Raw genomic sequence first — 20,032 nt, 5'->3', positions numbered from 1 at the left:
AGTTCCTGAGTTAGTGATATTCACATTTGGAAAATGTGCTCCATTCTTATCACAAGCTCTCCAGGCACCATCCAGTAGTGGGCCATGGCTTGAAAGCAGCAACGCCATGCAGACAGTCCTTGCTCTGGAGAGGAGATATTTTATCATTTGCTTCTGCAGGTAGTAAATATTCAGCTGGTTGCTGCATTGTGAGTGTTCTTGTAACCTTTGGCCCCTGACAGCATCATCTGGCACATTCCTAATGTACAGCTTGATGAAGCAAGACCTACAGCACATATTCATGGAAGTTATTCTTTCTCCATGGGAGTTATTCAAGCCATGGCAACTACTAGTTACACCTACCAACAGACTTCACGCAACACCTTTCATTTTTTAATCTTTTCTTCCTCAGTGCCATCTTCCTACTTCCAACAACCTATCACCCAATATTAATAGTGTTCATTCAGTGGATATGCTCTATTGATGTTTACTGTGTGTAAGGAACTCTGCTAAACACCTAGCTCTACTTTGATTGGGAATGGGAGCTGGAGAAGGGATAGAAGTAGAAGCCATGCCTCTCCAGTGTGAAGTTCTTTAGTGAGGAAAGGAGATAGCTTTTTCTCTCTTAAGGAGTTTAAAATGGGCTTCCTGCCATATGAAAGTAGTGAAAAAAGAACATAATGGGATGCAAAATATTGGCGTGGTTTCTAGAGAAAAAAAAAAAACATGTTTCAAATGTCAATTACATTTTTCTCTGATCTCTTTAAGAATATGGCCAAAGAATGAGCCTATAAAGCACCGTGGCAGATAACAAGATGGCCATGAGCATGTAGCATCTTAGTTTTTTAAAATGCTGGCATACTCAAATAGCAGTACTGACCAGTCCAACTCTGAATGTGAACTTGTTGTGTTTCGTATTTTTGTGATGCATTTTTAAACCATTCTACTTAGATCTGAAGGGGGACATGGAGAGCTCAGCTAGGGTCAATGGAGGACCACACAGGTGGTGGTGATGGGGTAGGGAGTCTATTTAGGAAGACTAAGTGAACCAGGACAATTTGAACATGAAGAAAACTGGAGACCATTTAAATGACAAATTTCAAGAATAGAAAATATAAGCAAATGCAAATGGCTGTAGTCATAATCTGAAAGAAGAGTTTCTTGTCACGCTTTTTAAGTATTAGGATGGGTTGTAAGTTATTTTTATGAGAGTAAAAAAGTTAGAAAAAGACACTAAAATAATGTATCTTAGAAGGTAACATGCCCAAAGGTAACATTTGGAGTGGAGAATAAACGTCTTGAGATATCTTCCCACTCTATAACTCTGTATTACCTTGATTACATAGGCAGAAGTACAAACCGTACATGTAAAATCGGTTAAGTGAACTTTAATTATGTCAAATTGGTGTAATAGGCTGAACAGAACTTTAGTTTGTACATTAAAAGAATGCAAAACATTGCTTTTGAAGGGGCCAATAGAAGTTATAATTTGCAGTGTTTTGTTGATCTAGGGACTTCACATATTTGGCCCCTCGTTAAGTACAGCTTTAAACCTAATATAGGTTACCTTCCAATGCAGAGTTGATGATTTCTGCCTCAAATTCCAGTCAAAGTAAACTGAGGTTTTAGTACCAAAATAATTTTATGCAAAGGGTTTGAAAATTCAAAATTAGTAGGTCTGTTTACTGGTATGCATGAACCTTCAATAAATTTATTATCTGCCTGACACAAACCATACTATACATAATGGTTGTTCCTGTTACTCAATTTTAATATAATGCCCTTACTTACCTTCACAGTGGAAAATAGTGACATCCAGTAAAACTAGGGAACCATACTTCATAGTGTAGACACCAAAAAGCTGGATAAGCACTGAGCTCTATCCCTGAACCCCATGGAACAAAGTTTAGGGACCACTTTTAGTGTTTACTGAGAGCAACAGCTTCTCTCTGTCATAGAGTAATGCTCAATCTGGTGACTGTTCTCTGATTCAGATTGGCTTTATCAGAATAATCTCTACTTTAGGCTGTAAGTCTGAGGGAGGGGAAGATACCGTGGGACAGGTGGATGGAAGTGTGTGGACATCATGACCAGCCGAGTTTTGAGAAGAGCGTTTTGACAGTTGTGGCTCATCTCCTTAAAACGGTTTATCCCCCAATTATGATGCGATTTAGGCACAAATTATCAGTGGAGAATTGAATAGAGAAAGCTGAGCATATCACCACTTATTCAGCACCAGAGAGTCGGGTGTTGTATTTCTTTTGTTCTGAATCTTCATCAAGGCCATGCCTGGAAAGACCCCCCAGGGATTTTTCTTAGGAAGAAATCATTTAACACAAGTGGCATCATTTATTTCGGGAATGATTCATAGGCTGCTACATAAATACTAATGATGTGTATAACAATGGGTTTCACCTTGGAATCTGCACAGAAGTCACAGAGATGCTGGCTTTCTTTATGAGAGAAGCTGCTCTTTACCACATAGCAGGATTTGGTAGTCAGGTGTGCCTGCTTATTCTTTTTTTATTTCCCCATATTGCCTTAAATGACCCTGGATTTAAAAAAAGAGAGATAGCCAATAAAGAGAGTAGGGTGGGTGAAATATTGCTAATCACAGTCACCAGTACATACAGCAAATAGGTAGTTATTTGTGATCGGAATGGAGATATGTCATGTGATGCATATTTGAGTTAAAACTCTCAGTAGGGCACCCTACCAGGTACCTGAAGAATGCAAAGACGTAGTCTTACATTTTCAGGTTATTTGCAGTCTGATAGATGAGATAGCACATGCAGGTAAATAAAAATACAAAGAATTATCTTTATTTTCCTGACATATGCAAAATGTGATGTTCAATAAGCAGTGGCCTCCAATTCATTAGGCATTGCAGTACGAACATGCCTGGGACTTCGTGACTGACCTTGAAGATTTTGGTCTGGAGAGTCAACTGCAATGAAGAGTGGGTTAGACTATCCCTTTTCTCTCTGTTTTTACTACTACCCTCTGGTCTAAGCTACTGGCAGCGCCTCTCTCCTGGGCTATTGCGGTAGAAGTTCCAAAAGGGTTTCCCTGCTTTCATGCCCACTCCTGCCATGACCTCTTTGACCTGCAGCAGTTGGAGAACACTTTTTAAAATGCAGGTCAGATCCTTTGACACTCCTGCTTCATGTTTACAAAGCCTTGTTCACCAGGGTCTCCATAATCTGCACTTGCTTTTGTCTCTGACTCCATGTATAGATATACCACAGTTTATCCATTTTCCTGCTGAGGGACATTTGGGTTGTTTCCAGTGTTTGGCTATTACAAATAAATCTGTTCTGAACATTTGTATACAAGCCAACACTTGGTATCCTTAGTATTTTTAATTTAATTTTTAATAATAGGTGTATAATATCTTATTGTGGTTTTAATTTGCTTCTCCCTAATGACTAGTAATGTTGAACATCCTTTTATGTGCTTATTTTCCATCCACATCTTCTTTAGTGAAGTGTTAAATCTTTTGCTTATTAATTTAGCTTTCTTTTGTTGAGTTTTGAGAGTTTCTAAATGTATATTCTTGATACAAGATTTTTGTTGTTGTTTGTGTTTTCAAACAGAGTCTCACTCTGTCTTCCAAGCTGGAGTGCAGTGGCATGATCTCAGCTCACTGCAACTTCTGCCTCCCCGGCTCAGGCAATCCTCCCACCTCAGCCTCCTGAGTAGCTGGAACTTTATAAGCATGTGCCACCACACCCAGCTGGTTCCTGTATTTTTTGTAGAGACAGGGTTTCACCATGTTGCCCAGGCTGGTCTCAAGCTCCTGAGCTCAAGCAATCTGCCCACCTCAGCCTCCCAAAGTACTGGGATTATAGACATGAACAACTATGCCCGGCAGATACAAGTTTATCAGATATGATTTGCAAATATGTTCTCACAGTTTGTGGCTTATCTTTTCATTATCTTAAAGAGCACAAGTTTTCCATGAAGTCCTACTTATTAACTTTATATTTCATAAATTGTGCTTTTAGTGTTATATATAGGAAATCTTTGCCGTAACCCAAGGTCATAATGATTTTCTTCGTTTTCTTCTAAAAGTGTTGTAATTTTAGGCCTTTACATTTAGATATATCACCCATTTCGATTTATTTTTTTTGTGTATAGTACAAAGTATATGCTTTGTATATACAAACTGAAATTCCTCTTTGTACATGTGGATATCCAGTTGTTCCAGTACCATTTGTTGAAAAGACTGTCCTTTCTCCATAGCATTGCCTTTTCACTTTTATTGAAAACAAGTTTTCCACATATGTACAGGTCTTTCCAGCCTCTCTATTCTGTTGCATTGATCTATGTGTCTGTCTTGATGCCAGTATTACATTGTCCTGATTAGTTTATTGTCTTGATCCATTTGTGCTTCTTGTGGCAAAATACCTGAAACTAGGCAATTATCAACCACCGACTTTTTTTCTCACAGTCCTGGAGGTGCTGATCAAGATCAAGATCAAGACACTGGCAGTTTCAGTATCTGCTCAGAGCCCAGTCTGTGCTTCCAAGATAGTGCCTTGATGCTGCATCCTCCAGAGAGATGAATGCTGTGTCCTCATATGGCAAAAGGGCAAAAGGGCCAAGCTAGTTCCCAGGTCCCTTTTAGAAGGCACTAAATTCATTCGTGAGGTTGGAGCTCTCATGGCCTGATCTCTTTCTCAAGGGCCCAACTCTTAATACTGTTGCAATGGGGATTAAGTTTTAACATGAATTTTGCAGAGTAACCATCAACCAACCATATTACACTTGGTTTTACAACAAGTCTTATATAATCAGATAGTGTAAGTCTTCCAACTTTTTTCCCACAGTTGTTTTTGCTCTTCTAGCCTTTTGAACTTCCATATGAGTTTTTAAATTAATGTGTCGTATTCTACAAAAAGAAGCCCACTGGAATTTTGATTGAGATAGCATTAAATCTTTAGATCAAATTGGGGAGAACTGACATCTTAATAATATTGAGTCTTCTGACCCATTACCATGGTATGTCTGTCCACTGGAATCTGTAGAGTATTCCTGTGGACAGACATACCATGGTTTGTTTGAGGATTATTGCCATCTTAACAACATTAAGTCCTCCAATCCTTGAATATGAGGTATTTTTACATTTCTATAAGTCTTCAATTTCTTTCAGCAATGTTGTAATGTTGTGTAGTTTTCAGTGTACAAGTCTTACACTTCTTGGTTAAACATATGCCTAAGCATTTTATTCTTTTCAATACTCTTGTAAATGGAATTGTCTTTGTTGCCTTATTGACTATTAGTCATGGTTCTCCAGAAACAGAACCAATAGAATGAGTGTATATACATACACACACATATACACACGCATATACACATATACATGCATGCACATATATATACACACATATGTACATATATACACCATGCACATATATATACACCCACACACATATATATAAAAGAGATTTATTTTAAGGAATTGGCTCACATGATCATGGAGACTGGGAAGTCCAAAATCTGCAAGGCAGGCTGGCAGGTTGGAGGCCCAAGAAGGAGCCAGTATTGCAGTACAAGTCCAAAGGCCTTCTACCAGCAGGATTCCTTCTTGCTTGGGGAGGTCAGTCTGTTGTTGTATTCAGATCTTCTACTGACTGGATGAGACCCACTCACATCAAGGAGGGTCATGTGCTTTACTCAAAGTCCACAGATTTAAATGTTAATCTCATCCAAAGTCACTTTCATCAAACCACCCAGAATAATGTTCGACTACATACCTGGGCACTGCAGGCCAGTCAAGTTGATATATCCATTACAACTGTGACTCTTGTTATTTTAGTGGTTTCGTTTAGTTATTTTAGAGTTTATAGCATATATCTTTAGCATACTCTACCTTCGAGTAATACACTACTTCATGTATAGTATGAGAACTGTCCAATAGTTCACTTTCATTTCTCCCATCCCAAATTTTGCTACTGTTGCTATATATTTTACTTTTTCATATTTTATAAACTCAATACCATATAATCTTCATACCACATTTGTTGTACAGGACTAGAGCATTGCTTGTCTAGGGCTAATTATTCCTCACTAATGAAGCAGGACTTTTATCTGTATTCTACTCAGTGCCCCAGGAATCTTGAGGTTTTTCCAGTCTGGATGATGGAAACAGGCACTATTCCCAGCCCTGTGTGAGCATGGAGTACTGTATCCTCTATTCATTTTGAGTGATTATTTTTTAAACCTCAGATAGTTTCCTCACAAACATATGATGGGAATCACTCAGCTGAATTGTCATAGGCAAATCTCTGCAGATCTCTAGAGTTTTCTCTGTGTCTCTCTTCTCTAGTACTCTGTCTTAAGAATTTTAGCCATCTTGGTATCCCTGGGTTCTCAGCACTCGCTTCAACTCAGGGAATCTGCCAGTCTCTTCCTGGGTTATTCCTCCGTGCACCACAGCCTAGAAACTCTCTCAAAGCAGTAAACTAGTACAATTGTAGGGCTCACCTTATTCATTTCCCATCTCTCAGGGGTCATTATGCTTCATTGCTTGATATACAATGCCTTAAAAACCATTGCTTCATATATTTTGTCCATTTTTGGTTACTTCAGGCAGGAGGGTAGACATAGCACTTATCTGGATTGGATGTAGCCACAGGATTAGAATTGTTGGGTCATAAAATATGTACATGTTCAGCTTTAGTAGATCTTGCCTAGAGTTTTAAAAAATTAAAAATTAAAATATTTTTTAAATTACAATAAATTCAGCTAATTTTAATTTTAGATAATTTTTATAATGTAGTTGATCTTGGTTTTAACCAGAGCATGTTGCTGGATTTTACTCCCCAGTCGAACACAGTAGAGAGAGAAGGTGGCGGGTTCTTAGTGATACCATGCACTTTTTTTTAGAACTTCAGTGCTGTATCCCTTCATTTACAATGTATGATGAAAAATACTAAAGAAGGGATGGTGGTGGTGGTGAGGAGGCAGGAGAGCCAAGAGAGCAGATAATTCTGCCTTTGCTTGACTGATAGCGGTAATTATATTTGACAGCTTATGCTTGCCAAGTAATAACAGCTTTGATTTTTCCAAAAACCTAGTGATATATGTTTAGTATCTAGTCCATTTAAAAATTCTCTCTCTGTTACTCTTTCTCCTTCAAATCTGAGTCCCTTTTTTTTCCCTTTGGAATGGCCTTCTCACATTAAAGGAGATCCATGTGCACATGACATCCTTCCATGGTTCTTTTAGACCTAATCTATGTTTTGAAAGAGGAAGCTCAGCAGCAGGTGCGTGGTATCCAGGAGCATAGTCACAGGCCCTTCCCTCACCTGCTTCCTTAGCTGCAGAAACGCTTCCATCTCTTCTCATTGTAAAGGGTTTTTTAGTTCTAAGAATGCTTTTTAGCCGCTCTTCTAGGTAAAATATGCATTGAATTTCTACCACGTATGACATTTTCCTGAAGAGAATTGCTGTTTGCCCTACACTTTTCAGTATATAATGGATAATGTTAAAGGAAAGCATAACATTAAAGAAATCTCTTTTTCAAGTTTTTATTTTCAGCCTTTGAGCTTCTTGTGGAGAAACTTAATACATTCTTGAGTCAGTTGGCCGTGACTTTGAAGCCTTTGTTTTTTGATACTCTGTAAATCTCGCCTAAGAATGGATCAAAAATGATGTTTACATCTGTTTCTAGAATTGAGGAAGTAAGAACAGAATAAGACTTTGTGACTGTAGTTAACCCCTTCCATTATCTTCCTTGTCTAATACCATAGGTGGAATTGGATTTAATCCCTTTCAGAAACCATCCGTTGTCACAACTCTGGGCATTTACTGTCTTGCTCAGACCTGTTTGTTTGTTTCACAGTTATATTACATGAAACAGACATGTTATATAAATTTTCCATATAAAATATAACTATTAGTTTGCAATAACTAATATTAACTAGGTTCTATAATTCATTGTATGTGTTCCCTTTATCCAAAATTCATGCAAATTTATTTTCTCTGCAGGTCTATGGAGAAATGTCTAAGGAAGTTAAAAAATCAAACATATTGGGAAACCTTTTGGGTTGTTGAATCTCCCTGAAATCATATTTTCAGGAAGCCTGAAACAAACAGAATTACTTAAGAGAGATGCTGCTAGAATAAGGATTGCAGGAAAAGAGATTGTTGTAAGAGGTTTTCACCCCTAAATTCCTTTCCTTCTAGTCTCTTGATATCTCTTGATATTTCTGTAACTTCTTGGTTATTACCATTTTCTTTACTCTTACTTGTAGTTCTTGGGATACTCCTCTTTTCTAGTAAGAAAATGTTCAAATACCTTAAAACTGTGGCTGAATTTTGAAACTAAACAGTTGAACCTGAAGTAAGTTCATGGTTTCTTGTGAGCACAGGAACTGTTCTTCCTTTTGTTGAGGAGCCATCAAAGGCATCAAAGAAGCAGCCACCTGACTCAAGAATGTATCAAATTATCCACAAGAAGCTCAAAGGCCAAAAATAAAAACTTAAAAAAAAATTCATTCCCTCATGGATTTATACATGCCTACCTCAGTTAGCACTCTGTATCCATTATAATAAAACCATATCGTGGTCCTAGTCTGGGGAGGGCAGTGGGGAACTCAAGCCTTCCAGGGGTTAAGGTTCCTGATTTTAAGGTTAAAATGTAATAGTCCAGGACTACCTGTCATTTACTTGAAAAAGAGAGTATCCTTTCAAAATAAAAATCTACATATTTTTACATTTAATAAAATTATCAACAGAATAAAGAAGGTTTAAAATTAAAAGGGACTAGATTTTAAAAGTACTAACTAGATCGATCTCATGTGGGCCTGTGGCATTAAAATTGCACATCCCAAAAGTAATGCCGCTTCCTCGTTGGCATATGGAAGCATTAAAACCAGCTAGTACCGCCTGCAAAGTTGGTGTAGGGCAGGCACTTGCTCTATTATTTGCATAGTTGCTAACTACTCTGGACGTAGTGCTGTGCCTTCATATTAAAGCAGCCTTCCCATAGAATTTTTTAGCAAGATGTTTTTTATTTTTCTCCTTCTACTGAAAGACTTACCCAAACTGCTTTACAAAGCAAGACATTTTCATAAAGTGGTTCCTTTTTGGCATCCCTTTTGGAGAAATTTCCTAGACTTTCCATTATCTCTTCTTCTTCCACTTTTGGAGATGAGAATGTGGTATATAGTTGGATACCTAGGAACTAGTGATACTAAGGAACTAGTGATTCAAAATCAGGAAACTTTTGTCTGGAAAACTTTTTCCTTTGTGATTATCTTTTCAGTAGACTGAGGAAATCTGCTTCCCAAAGCCCTATGCACTGATTTTATTGTTTCCTTCCACCTTTGGGGTTAATGGAGCAGGGACTGTTTAAGGGCATCCTACATTTTTCCCCAGTGGCTTGGTGCACATGACTGAAGTACCACCGTTTTTGTTGTTGCTGTTCTTTTGAGAAAAAGAAAAGAAAAGAAACAGACCTTCCTTAAAACATCCAGGTTTAGGTCGGGCATGGTGGCTCACACCTGTAATCCTAACACTCTGGGAGGACAAGGTGGGAGGATCACTGGAGCCCAGAAGTTTGAGACCAGCCTGGATAACATAGACCCCCATCTCTACAAAAAAAATAAAAGTTAGCTGGGTGTAGTGGCACACATGTGTTGTAGTCCCAGCTAGTTGGGAGGCTGATGAGGGAGGATCGCTTGAGCCCAGGAGATTGAGGCTGCACTGAGTCATGACTGCAACTGCTGCGCTCCAGCAGAGGCAACAGAGTGAGACCTGTCTTGAAAGCAAAACAGAACAAAAAACGCGCAGATTTAAGTATCCCATGTCAGACCCCTTTGGGTCCTATTGGGAATCTGGCCAGAGAGCCAGATTCTAAGATGGGAAGGAAGAAACAGAAGGAGGAGAAGGGGAGGGCCCCAGAGACAAACTTGACCATTTCACAAGTTGGTCTGGTTTGCAACTCTGGGTTACATAGCCTGCAGGGTCTAAACATTTACTATGTCCCCAAATTATAACACACTAAGAAATAGTGTGAGAAGCAAAAGATCAATCCTGTGTGGAGAGCACCATGCTCCATTTCCCACTAACTATAGCAGAGAGGATGTTTCCCTGTTCTGAAAGCATTTAAGGTAACAACCTAGATATTTTTGCTTTTATGCTTTATAAACATTCAGCCATCTTGGCTGATAGAATTGCTGGCGCAGCAGCCTCAGACCTGATATTTGTTTCTCATGGATATTGCGAAATCCACCCAGAATTATCATACACTAGAGCTTTGGAAGAACAGTAAGGAAACTAGCTCCAAATAATTATTTCTCACCTTGGCCACGTAGCCTGTTCTGTCACCACAGCAGCACCAAGAAGCCACACTCAGTTACTTCCTGAACCCTCATTTCAGAAGCTTGCTTTCTTCTTTTCCCTTAGTCACCTCTGGCACAGTCACACAGCAGCCCTGATAATATTCTATGTGAATACTGCCTCTTTTTTTTACCTCCAGCTTATTTATTTTTCATCAGCACTCTTGTTGAAATCAAAATGTCTGGTGGTTAGACTCCAGCAGAGCAGAGAGCTGAGGCATACCACACAACACGGACCTTCACTTAACTGTAAGGTCAAAATAGGGCTGCACATGATGAAAGTGTAAGGCATCTTAGGTATGTAGGTGTGGTAAATTCTGCTTTTTAGCCACCCTGAACATCAAACTATAGCTATTTAGTGCAGTTTGTTTTCCTTTTGCCCTCTTTCTTTCTTTCTTTTTTTGAGAAATGGCCACATAAAGTTATGAAGTAATTCAAGTTCAATGTGTATAGTAAATGTATAAAAATGTGTAAAAAGATGTTATTCAGCTATCTCAAATATGAGATAGTTGAGGATGTAGAGGTGGTATATACTGATTGTTTCCTTTAAAATCATATTTTAAGGATATTTATTTTATTTTTAGCCACCCTAAACATCAAAACTATAGCTATTGGGGGTGCAATCTGTTTTTCTTTTACCCCTTTTCTTCTTTCCTTTCTTTTTTACTTTTTTGAGAAATGGCCACATAAAGTTATAAAGTAATTCAAGTTCAATGTGTATAGTAAATGTAGAAAAATGTGTAAAAAGATGTTATTCAGCTATCTCAAATATGAGATAGTTGAGGATGTACAGGTGGTATATACTGATTGTCTCCTTTAAAATAATATTTTAAGGCTATTTATTTTAAATAGATAATTTGTCTCCTAGGCCAAACTGGTTTTCCTTTTTGGAATAGTTGAGGGATTATGCTGTGAATAATGAGAGTGTAGGTGTAACAGTGTGGCTTTTTGGAAAAAGTGGTCTTTCAGCCACTGGACCTTGAAACAGAGGATCTGCCTCTGAATCTTGGCGGTATATGAGCTCTTCTCCCATTTCACATAACATGCAAGTGACTTGTCTTTCTGTCTTTCTTCATTGGTCTTTGTTCCCTCTTCTACCAGTTCTACTTTCCTGACTTGTTGCAAGACCAATTTGTTATGACATGGTCTTTGTTATTGGCTGGCTTATTGGTTTTTAATTAAATAGAATTCTCTGATTGGGCACAGGCAAGGTCAGTGGTCTCCACCCTTTGAGTATAGCAAGTTTTCGAATTTTGTTTGTATAAAGTGTCTCATGGAGGGGCCATTTTTAAAAAGAGCTCTTTAGACCATTAGTTCATGAGACAGAGATGTTACTCCACTGGAGTAGTGATGGCAGTGATATTTTGGATATTCTGGACATAATAGTTTGTGTCACTGCTTCTTAACCAAAGCTGAAAGGTAGTAGCAAGTCTACATGAAAGCCAAAGAAGAGGCATGAAGCCATGAAAACCATGTTGTTTTTTCAGAGCTAATAGCAAAGCGGCCTGAATTGGGTTGCCCCCATGCTTCTGCCTGCCTCTGATACCAGTGCAGGAAGCCGGAGAATCGGCTGCTTCAGAGTGGTCTACAGTATTACCTGGGAGTCATACCCACCCTATTCCTTTAAATGCCTCTGTGTTGGTCTCTTCCCTGTGAATGTTGAAGCCATAACGGAAATCCCCTGACCTTTAAAGTCATTCAAAATAATGACTTTGGGAGTCTCTAGCATGCAGCTCTATGATATTACTGATCCAGATAATTTGGTTGCATTTTCCAGGGTGTACTGTCAATTAGCTTTCCTTTGGAAAGAGAAGGTGAATCACTGTTTTTCACTAGACATCTGGATTTTGTGTGACTGGCGTATTTTTTATCAGCTACTGACTCCCAAAACAACAAAACAATGAAATAGTTAAAGCATGCTTTCCTCAAGTATGTACTCAAAAAGTCTGGCAATGGTGTGTGTGTGTGCAAGTGTTTTGATTTCAGAAGGGGAAAGTCTTAATTTAACTCTATACGATGTGTATATAATAATATAATTTTAAGACACCTGCTTCAAAATAGAAACTAGGATGCTGGAGATAATAACAATAAACAAAAATTAAACCAACCAGGCTCAGTGCCCAGGAAAACTAGCCAGACTCCAAGAACTGGGCAAGGAATAAACTAATAGGGGAGGAAAGGCAGGAATGGATAGAGTTGCAACTGCCTCCATTAAAAATGACTGCTCTGCAGTGTGATCACTGTGGAGGAATTCCATGGGGTCATTTGTCATAATAGTTGGGGTTCCTGCATGCCTCATTTCAATGACAAACTTTCAATGGAACTTACCTTCCTTAGATGTGAATCTTAAAACATGCCCGCAATATACAGTGATCTCGAGTTGTGTTGAAGCTTTTAAAATGCTGTAAATTACTTGGAAGCAAATGGACCAGAAGTGAAAATAGGAGCTCATAACAACTTTAAAGTTAGAAAGAAAGCCTTTATGTTTCCCAGGCTTAAATGTTGTATGATTTACATAAACACAGGAGGAAATTCTCTTTGTGCATTTAGGGGTGTGTGTCTAATACAGGAACCCATGTTTTCCTGTTATTGAAAAGCCTTTTTTAATCTTTTAAGCACATTTTAAGACCTGCCTGTATTCCAGGTGTATTGTTTTCTTTAACATTAAAACGTAAGAGCAGGTCACAGCCATCAGAGAAACCTATTAGGTCTCCCATTTGTGTCATAGGAGACACAAAAAATAAATGAATCGAATTAAATGGATAGACAGAGTCCTGGGCAGACTGGTAATACTGCCTGAATTCAATTAGAGGGAATGGTTGTTCCTATTTGTGAATAGAAGACTATAAAATTTCATCTGATTGTGGGTGTTAAGGGGATGATGACTTCTTAATCATAAAAGTAAATGTAATTGGTATGAAATATTCAGAAGTTTTTAGCAAATATAACTGAAATAATGGGTGATAAACCAAAACATTATTTGAACTTAAAAACAAATCTTCACTAAATTTTGGTTGGAAGCAGAGAGAGTAGATAGTACTCAGGCCATAAAGGTGGTTTTCAGTGCTGGGAAAGTAGGGTTCTCACTAGATCTAAGGACAGTGGCCACCTTTCCTTTGTCTCTGCTCTCCTGCTTTAATGGCCCCCGACAATGAAACTGCAATAAGCTATGGAATGCGTGAACTGTAGAGTCTCCCTGCTCACCAACTGTGATTGGAGTAGGTGCTTTCTGTACTTCATCCCTTCAGAATTCTTTTTGCCATCTGTTGAGCATCTACATAGTTATTCGAAAGTGTGGAATCTGTGGGGTGATTCGAAACAAAGAATATGCCACAGATGCATAGTCTTCAGCAAGTCAGTAATTAGGATCATCTTCAATATAGCCAATAATGATTTCTACTTTCTGTAGTTCCTTTCTATTTAATTTGCTAATTCCTATAGCCAGGGTTCAGGAGAAGCTTTTAGGAAATCCCTTTAAAGACAATTAATTACTTCCTACCCTTGAGTCTCCATGTCACAAAGTAGGCAGATGTAGAAATATTCAGAGTGCCTCTCCTGGTGCCTGATGCTTGGCTTCAGTCTGAGAGGTGATGCTGTCCATCTTTAGCACAGAAAGGCTTAGGGGAAGAACTCACTGAGGCTGAGAGAAGAAATTGTCCTTTTCCTACAGGTGTGGAGGTGTGCCCAGAACACCAGATTCAATCATAATTAGATGCAAACTAGATACAAACTGAACAATATTAGAGAGCCAAATAGTTTGGGGATTTTTTGAGTTAGGGATTACTCCTCATCACTGAAGCCTAAGATGTTTACACTGGACTATAAAACTAGAAATATACCTTGCAGTTCTCTAGGGGAGCCAATTACCTTCATTTCCTTTCAAATTCAGCCTTTCCCAGTGAACCTTACCTGATGCCTGTCAGTACTATATGCTTCTTTTCCTGCAAGCTGTAATTGTGCACTTATAGCCTCCATTGAAGGTGCTTGGTGTTATTCACTTAAGTCATTTTCAGTTTGAATGGATAAACACATAAATGAAGCAGCCCTTACAATTATAATTATATTGTAAACTGCTTCAGAGTGGAGATTGTAACATCTATTTCCTTTACGTTCACCCCTGACCAAAGGCACACATATTTATTCATATTCCCTCCTTTCCCCCTCTGCCTTCTCTCTGTTATTGTGCATATACACAGTAGGTGTCCTGTAGAAACAGCACTGAATGTGGAAACAAACCACCAACTTGCAGGTGCACTAATCTGAGTGATCTTTTCTTGGCAGTGACAAACAAGAAACCCACACAGGCGTCCATCACAAAGGTCAAACAGTTTGAAGGCTCCACATCATTTGTTCGGAGATCACAGTGGATGCTCGAGCAGCTTCGCCAGGTTAATGGTATCGATCCTAATGGGGTGAGTGAATTGTCCAATGCTGAGCAAAGGCATTCTTTTCACAAGATGACTCTCTGATTGACCTTGGTAGTGGTAGTGGTGGTTTGAATCATTCTTAAGAAGGCTATTTCTCTATTTCAATTATGTGATTAAAACTTTCGGATACAGAGTCCTTTCTTATGGGAAATTATAAATCTTTTCATCATGTTTAATAGAGGAATCTAACAGAATGCATATTGAAAAAATGTGACCTCCGGTAACATTGATCAGCAAAGTACGAAGTTCAGAGTGCAGATAATCATATCGATGGTTATCAATATGGAAAAAAAAAAACATGTTTACCAAAACCTCATTTATCTCCTACTGGCACTAATGACAAGGTGTATTTACCAAAAATCAAGTAAATGAATGGTATCTTTCAGTATGCATTGTGATTCCCTTGCTTTTAATAGGAGAAACATTTTATGGCATAGTTATCTATGCAAAGTACATTCCCGTTGCTCACATGCACACCTCACAAAATGCTAATAATGAAGAATAATAAAATATAAATTGTTACTATAGACTAAAATAACAAGAGGGAATCTTCCTACCAAAGTTTAGGGGCCAGATTAATATAGGTCGTTGCTGAGAACCTAAAGGAATCCCTTTTCCAGGAAATTGGGAAGATAATACATGGTCTCAATTCTGACATTTGTCAGTGTTTAGTTAGGCTATCTCAATTTGTGTGATACTAGTTTCCTAGGAACATGTATCAATACTGTAAGATTTGGGGTTTGCTTCATAAACAGAGAAATGTAGACTCTCCATACACTTGGATAAAGATGAGCCTTATGATTGCGATCAAAGTCTTTGTTTTAGCCCTTATAAATCTTTTGACAGGAGTAATCTAGAAACAGCAGTTTTTATAGATTGAGATTAGTAGTTATTTCATTGTCTTTTCCAGGATTCGGCAGAGTTTGATTTGTTGTTTGAAAATGCTTTTGACCAGTGGGTAGCCAGCACAGCGTCAGAAAAATGCACCTTCTTCCAGATCCTCCACCATACCTGCCAGAGGTACCTCACGGACAGGAAGCCAGAGTTTATTAACTGCCAATCCAAAATTATGGGAGGTGAGTGGACATTTGTGTGACTTTAGTCATCCTGTTTCTTTAGACTCACTTTTACTTAAGAAGTTAGGAGTTCAGCAGCATAATTAAAGACAAAAACAGGAGAAGAATCAATATGCTCAGAGCTAGACAACATAAGAACCATTCCAGGGAGTTTATTGTATGGTAAATTTAGACACAAAGGTATGTTTTCACTCTTGTCCAAAAGCTGGTCTTTTTTAGAATTAGCCTTCTAGTTCTTATCTGCACTTAGCTAAGATTATTTGAATGATGAGAACAAAACTGCTCCCTTATTAGAAAAACCTTTTATTTTGGTTTCTTTACTACCTTTTCTATAATTTCATTGCAGAACACCATTTTCTGGGTTGCCTTTTTCTATTTTTTCTCAAGATGTTTTACAAATATTAATATAAAAATTCCAACAGATGCTTCCCCTTTCTTTCAAAAGCAACTCGTGTTTATTCCTTGAATGGCATACAGAGCTGAGTTAGGATGAGTACAGTAAGCCACTGTAAAGGGGTGAGTGCCAGCATCGGCAACATAATGAGAAATGTTTAGAGGGTGCTTAGCACATTTCTTAGGTGGCATTTCTTTTTAGAGAATTGATACTGTGCTAAAAATGTAAAAGCCTTGACAACTCTGTGAGTTGGGGAAGAGTGTTTATATCATTGGTCTTTTCACTGACCTGTCTCTTGGTTTTGAAAGACTGTTTTTAAAAATGCACCAGCTTTGCCTTAATCAGATGTTAAATGAAGATCACGTTAAATACATCACATCTTCTCCTTGGGCTGTATATATGTTTCATATGAACATACAGCAGAATCCATTACTCTGTCCTAGCAACTGACACACATACTGTCATTTTGCCATTAGTTACTAGAAGTTGTATAGAGAAGTTATTATCCAATTCTTTGGTATTAGCCACTGAGGTATTGGCATTCCTTTTAAGTAGGAAGTTGCTTACATCATAAGAACCTTGGAAGGTCTTTCTTAGGTATTTATGCAGCTTATTTTATTATAGTTTCTCTGTTTAATCCCAGGAAAATACAAGAGGTGATGAATGGTGTATATTTTTTCAAGGGGTCACATCCTATGGTACAAAAGTGAAAAATATTAGACATAGATGTTTAAAGGAAAGGGAATTTCAAACACTGACCTATTTGGAAAATATAATAAGATATAGCTCTGTATCATGTCTGCGCCACCAGTGCTCTTAAAATGACTCCTGCTTTGAAAGTCCAGCCTTAACGGACTTGGCAGAAGGTTGAAGCACACCAGGCTTAGGACCACAGAGGGCCACATTTTCAGTGAATGGAAAGTTGGCCAGGAAATCCCAGGTTTCCCTCATTCTTCATTAGGTGGAGTTTGCTCTGATAGCCTAGAATCACATTTGTTTCTTAATCTTCAATTCCTGCTATGAAGCATTTTTCTCATCCATGTCCATATGGTCAGTAGCTTGCATGGCTAGCATGTAAGCACAGAGTCTCTTCTCAAAATAATGTGACATTATGGATTTGAAATTTCTGTTGCTCTTGGAGAAAGACTCCCCTCAAGCATTGCACTTCTTCATGTTCCGTCCTGGGCAGTGTGGCCAGAAACAGACCAAGTGCCATAGAAACTACTGCACTTCCTCAGAATGGAAATGTGGATGGAAGCAAAAGGGCCACACACTCACTGTCCTTCCAAGGGAAACGAGCTACCTCCTTCATTCTAAGGTTAGGGATAGCTTTGCTGACTCTTCCTCTTCCTCCCTTAACAGACTGCACTAGGCAGTCCCCCTGCTCTGTTTCCCCTAAAGGTCTCATTTCTTCTCTAGGAACAGGCTTTTTCTTTCCTTCATTCAATTACAGTTCATTATCCAATCATACAATAAATGAGAACTAAGAACCTACTACATGCTAGTCACTGTGCTACGTATTGGACATAGAGAATAATTCTATATTTGGTTCCTTAATAGACCCTAATTGCCACTACTCAAATCCCAGACTGATAGATCTCTAATTTGTTCTTCCTTTGCCTTCCTGAATATCCTCAGACCTTCCCACACAGCCCCACCACACTGCTTCTGTCCATCATTGAGCCAGCCCTTCAGCTTTCTTTCATTGCCTTGTGAACCCCAAATTATGCAGAGTTGAGATGGGAACACATATGTCCAGTGTTAAATTGTTGGTATGTGTATTTAGGCAAGCCGAATATTGGTTTCCTGTAGTAAGAAAAAATTAGAATAAGTTAATAAAACCAAATGCCAGAATTGCCTTTGCCCTGTGTAACTGTAGGTGTGTCTCTCAGCTGCTCTAGACTTCAGTTTTCCCAGGTGTCACATGTAGAGGTTAGACTAGATGCTATATAAAATCTCTTTCAGTTCCATCACTTTGAAAGTCTGTAATTCCTAAATTATAGTTTTATTGTGTAGGTTAATTGCTTCTTATCTAAAGAATCAAAGATTTAGCGCAATTAAATATTGACAAGTCCTGGATTACTAAGGAAGGCACAAAAAGGTTTAAATTAAGCATGTAGTAATTTGTTGGCAGCACATATAACCTTAGTGAATGCAGCATGTCTTAAACAGTTGCTTATGCTTAATAATAGTTGTGCCAACACACCCTGATAAATTAGTATGCCGATTAGTCTTCTTTTCTGCCAGCTATCACACTTCTGAGACTTCAAAATTAGGTGCTTCTGGGGCCACTACATTCTGACCTCTTTAACTTTTGGGTATCTTCCACATCTTTAGGATATGAAATCTGTTGCCAGTTTCACAGTATCTTTTGGTCTCTTCCTATAGTATGGGCCACAAGTCCTAGATACCATTGTTTCTTATACCATGCAATAGGATAGTTTTATGATTTTAAAGAACTAATACTGGTGTTAGTATGCTGCCCAACACCAGATTCTATACATATGTTATCTAATTTAATTTTTATAGCAGACTTTGGAAATATGCTTTATCAACTCCATTTTATAGAGAAGGAAACAGAATCAGAGAGATCAAATAGCTTGCCAAGGGTCATATAACTAGTAAGTCGTAAAGATAAGATGCCAGGGCAGGCCCACTTATTGGCTCCTTAAAGCCACTGAGTGGCATGCTCCAGGAAACACCATTGACATTGTCTTTGTTATGAATGGTGCCCCCTGGAGTTGTATATGAATTGCTGGGAATATTTTAGCCACTACATTCCTGGGTATTAAAAAGGGAGGTGGGAGAAAACCCGCCTTTATGGATAGTTTTAACTTTTTTCCTAGTTTTGTCCCAGGAAAATATTTAAGATAATTCTTAAGCTATTTTTTTCATCCTAAGAACAATCGAGTCATCAAGCACCTTTAAAATCATCTTGCTTTTTGTTTTTTGTGTTTGTCCACCAGAACTTCAATAGAGGAAATAGATGAAAGCACTGGGAAGACAGTGCAGCCCTAGCCGCCTACAGGGCCTCTCAGGTACTCTATGCCAACCTAAAATAATGAAAAGGGTCAGAATCTAGATTAAAGAGACTTTAAGTGCAAAGGTTGAGGACAAGCCCACCCAAGAAGCACAGATTCCTAACAATGGAAGTCAGTGTTACAAAGCGTAGACGTGTGAGATTGCTTATGTAGACAAAGCCTGGGGAATTTTAGCAGAATTTCAGCATCTTTCTATGTAAGGCTTAATACATAGTCACAATGACCTGATTAGTTCAGATGGTCCTCCTCTTTTGAGAAAGGTACATTTAACATTCCATTGCAGTTACTGCAGATGTAACTGTCATGGGGTCCCTGTTCAGAGCACCATCTAGTCTGAGTTAGGTCAGGAGATAGGTCAGGACAATAAAGAAGGCAGTTAATCTCTAACAAAGATTTGTGATTGGAAGGTAGAGGTCTGGTCTCTGGTCTCCTAGTCACTTACAGAACAAAACAATGAGGAAGAGAGTTAAGCTATAATCTAAGAAGTAGAATTGCAAAACATGCTGCATGACTCAGATCACAGCCATATCTCTCTCAAGGCTTAAAGTGTTTTTGGGGGTTCCAACAGCTTTTAAATTGTATTTATTTTCACAGCTGTATCTGGACCAACCCTGTCATTGGGAAAACTGAGGCCCAGCAATTTTGAATGACTTTGTCAAGGCCAGGGACTATGCAACAACCTACAGAGATTGAAGGCAGAGGTGGGGAGCCAGGTCTGGCTGCTGAAATGTGACATGACCACATGAGTGACAGGGGTCCCTGAAAG

At 38.5% G+C, this 20,032-nt stretch overlaps 1 protein-coding gene and 1 long non-coding RNA gene across 29 annotated transcripts in view; one reads left to right on the top strand and one right to left on the bottom strand.

Moving 5' to 3' along the window:
* STXBP6 (syntaxin binding protein 6) overlaps positions 1-20,032 on the top strand; it is a 240,694-nt gene that overhangs the window by 178,381 nt on the left and 42,281 nt on the right. For 27 of the 28 annotated variants that reach the window (NM_001394418.1, NM_001394410.1, NM_001351942.3 and 24 more), the window contains 2 exons: positions 14,610-14,740; positions 15,666-15,831. The exons of the other annotated variant lie outside the window; for it this stretch is intronic. In NM_001394418.1, the coding sequence (NP_001381347.1) occupies positions 14,696-14,740; positions 15,666-15,831 (211 nt within the window). In that variant the 5' untranslated portion in view covers positions 14,610-14,695. The remainder of the gene's footprint in view (positions 1-14,609; positions 14,741-15,665; positions 15,832-20,032) is intronic. 28 annotated transcript variants of the gene reach the window in all.
* LOC124903294 (uncharacterized) lies at positions 5,417-10,957 on the bottom strand. Its single transcript, XR_007064090.1, has 2 exons — positions 10,292-10,957; positions 5,417-6,674 (listed from the first exon to the last, which is right to left on the bottom strand). It is a non-coding gene; the product is annotated as an uncharacterized LOC124903294 (long non-coding RNA).

This window comes from Homo sapiens, chromosome 14 (assembly GCF_000001405.40).
Source record: "Homo sapiens chromosome 14, GRCh38.p14 Primary Assembly".
Taxonomy (NCBI): Eukaryota; Metazoa; Chordata; class Mammalia; order Primates; family Hominidae; genus Homo; species Homo sapiens.
The sequence above is the reverse complement of the archived record's forward strand: the minus strand, read 5'-3'. Positions and strand labels throughout refer to the sequence as shown.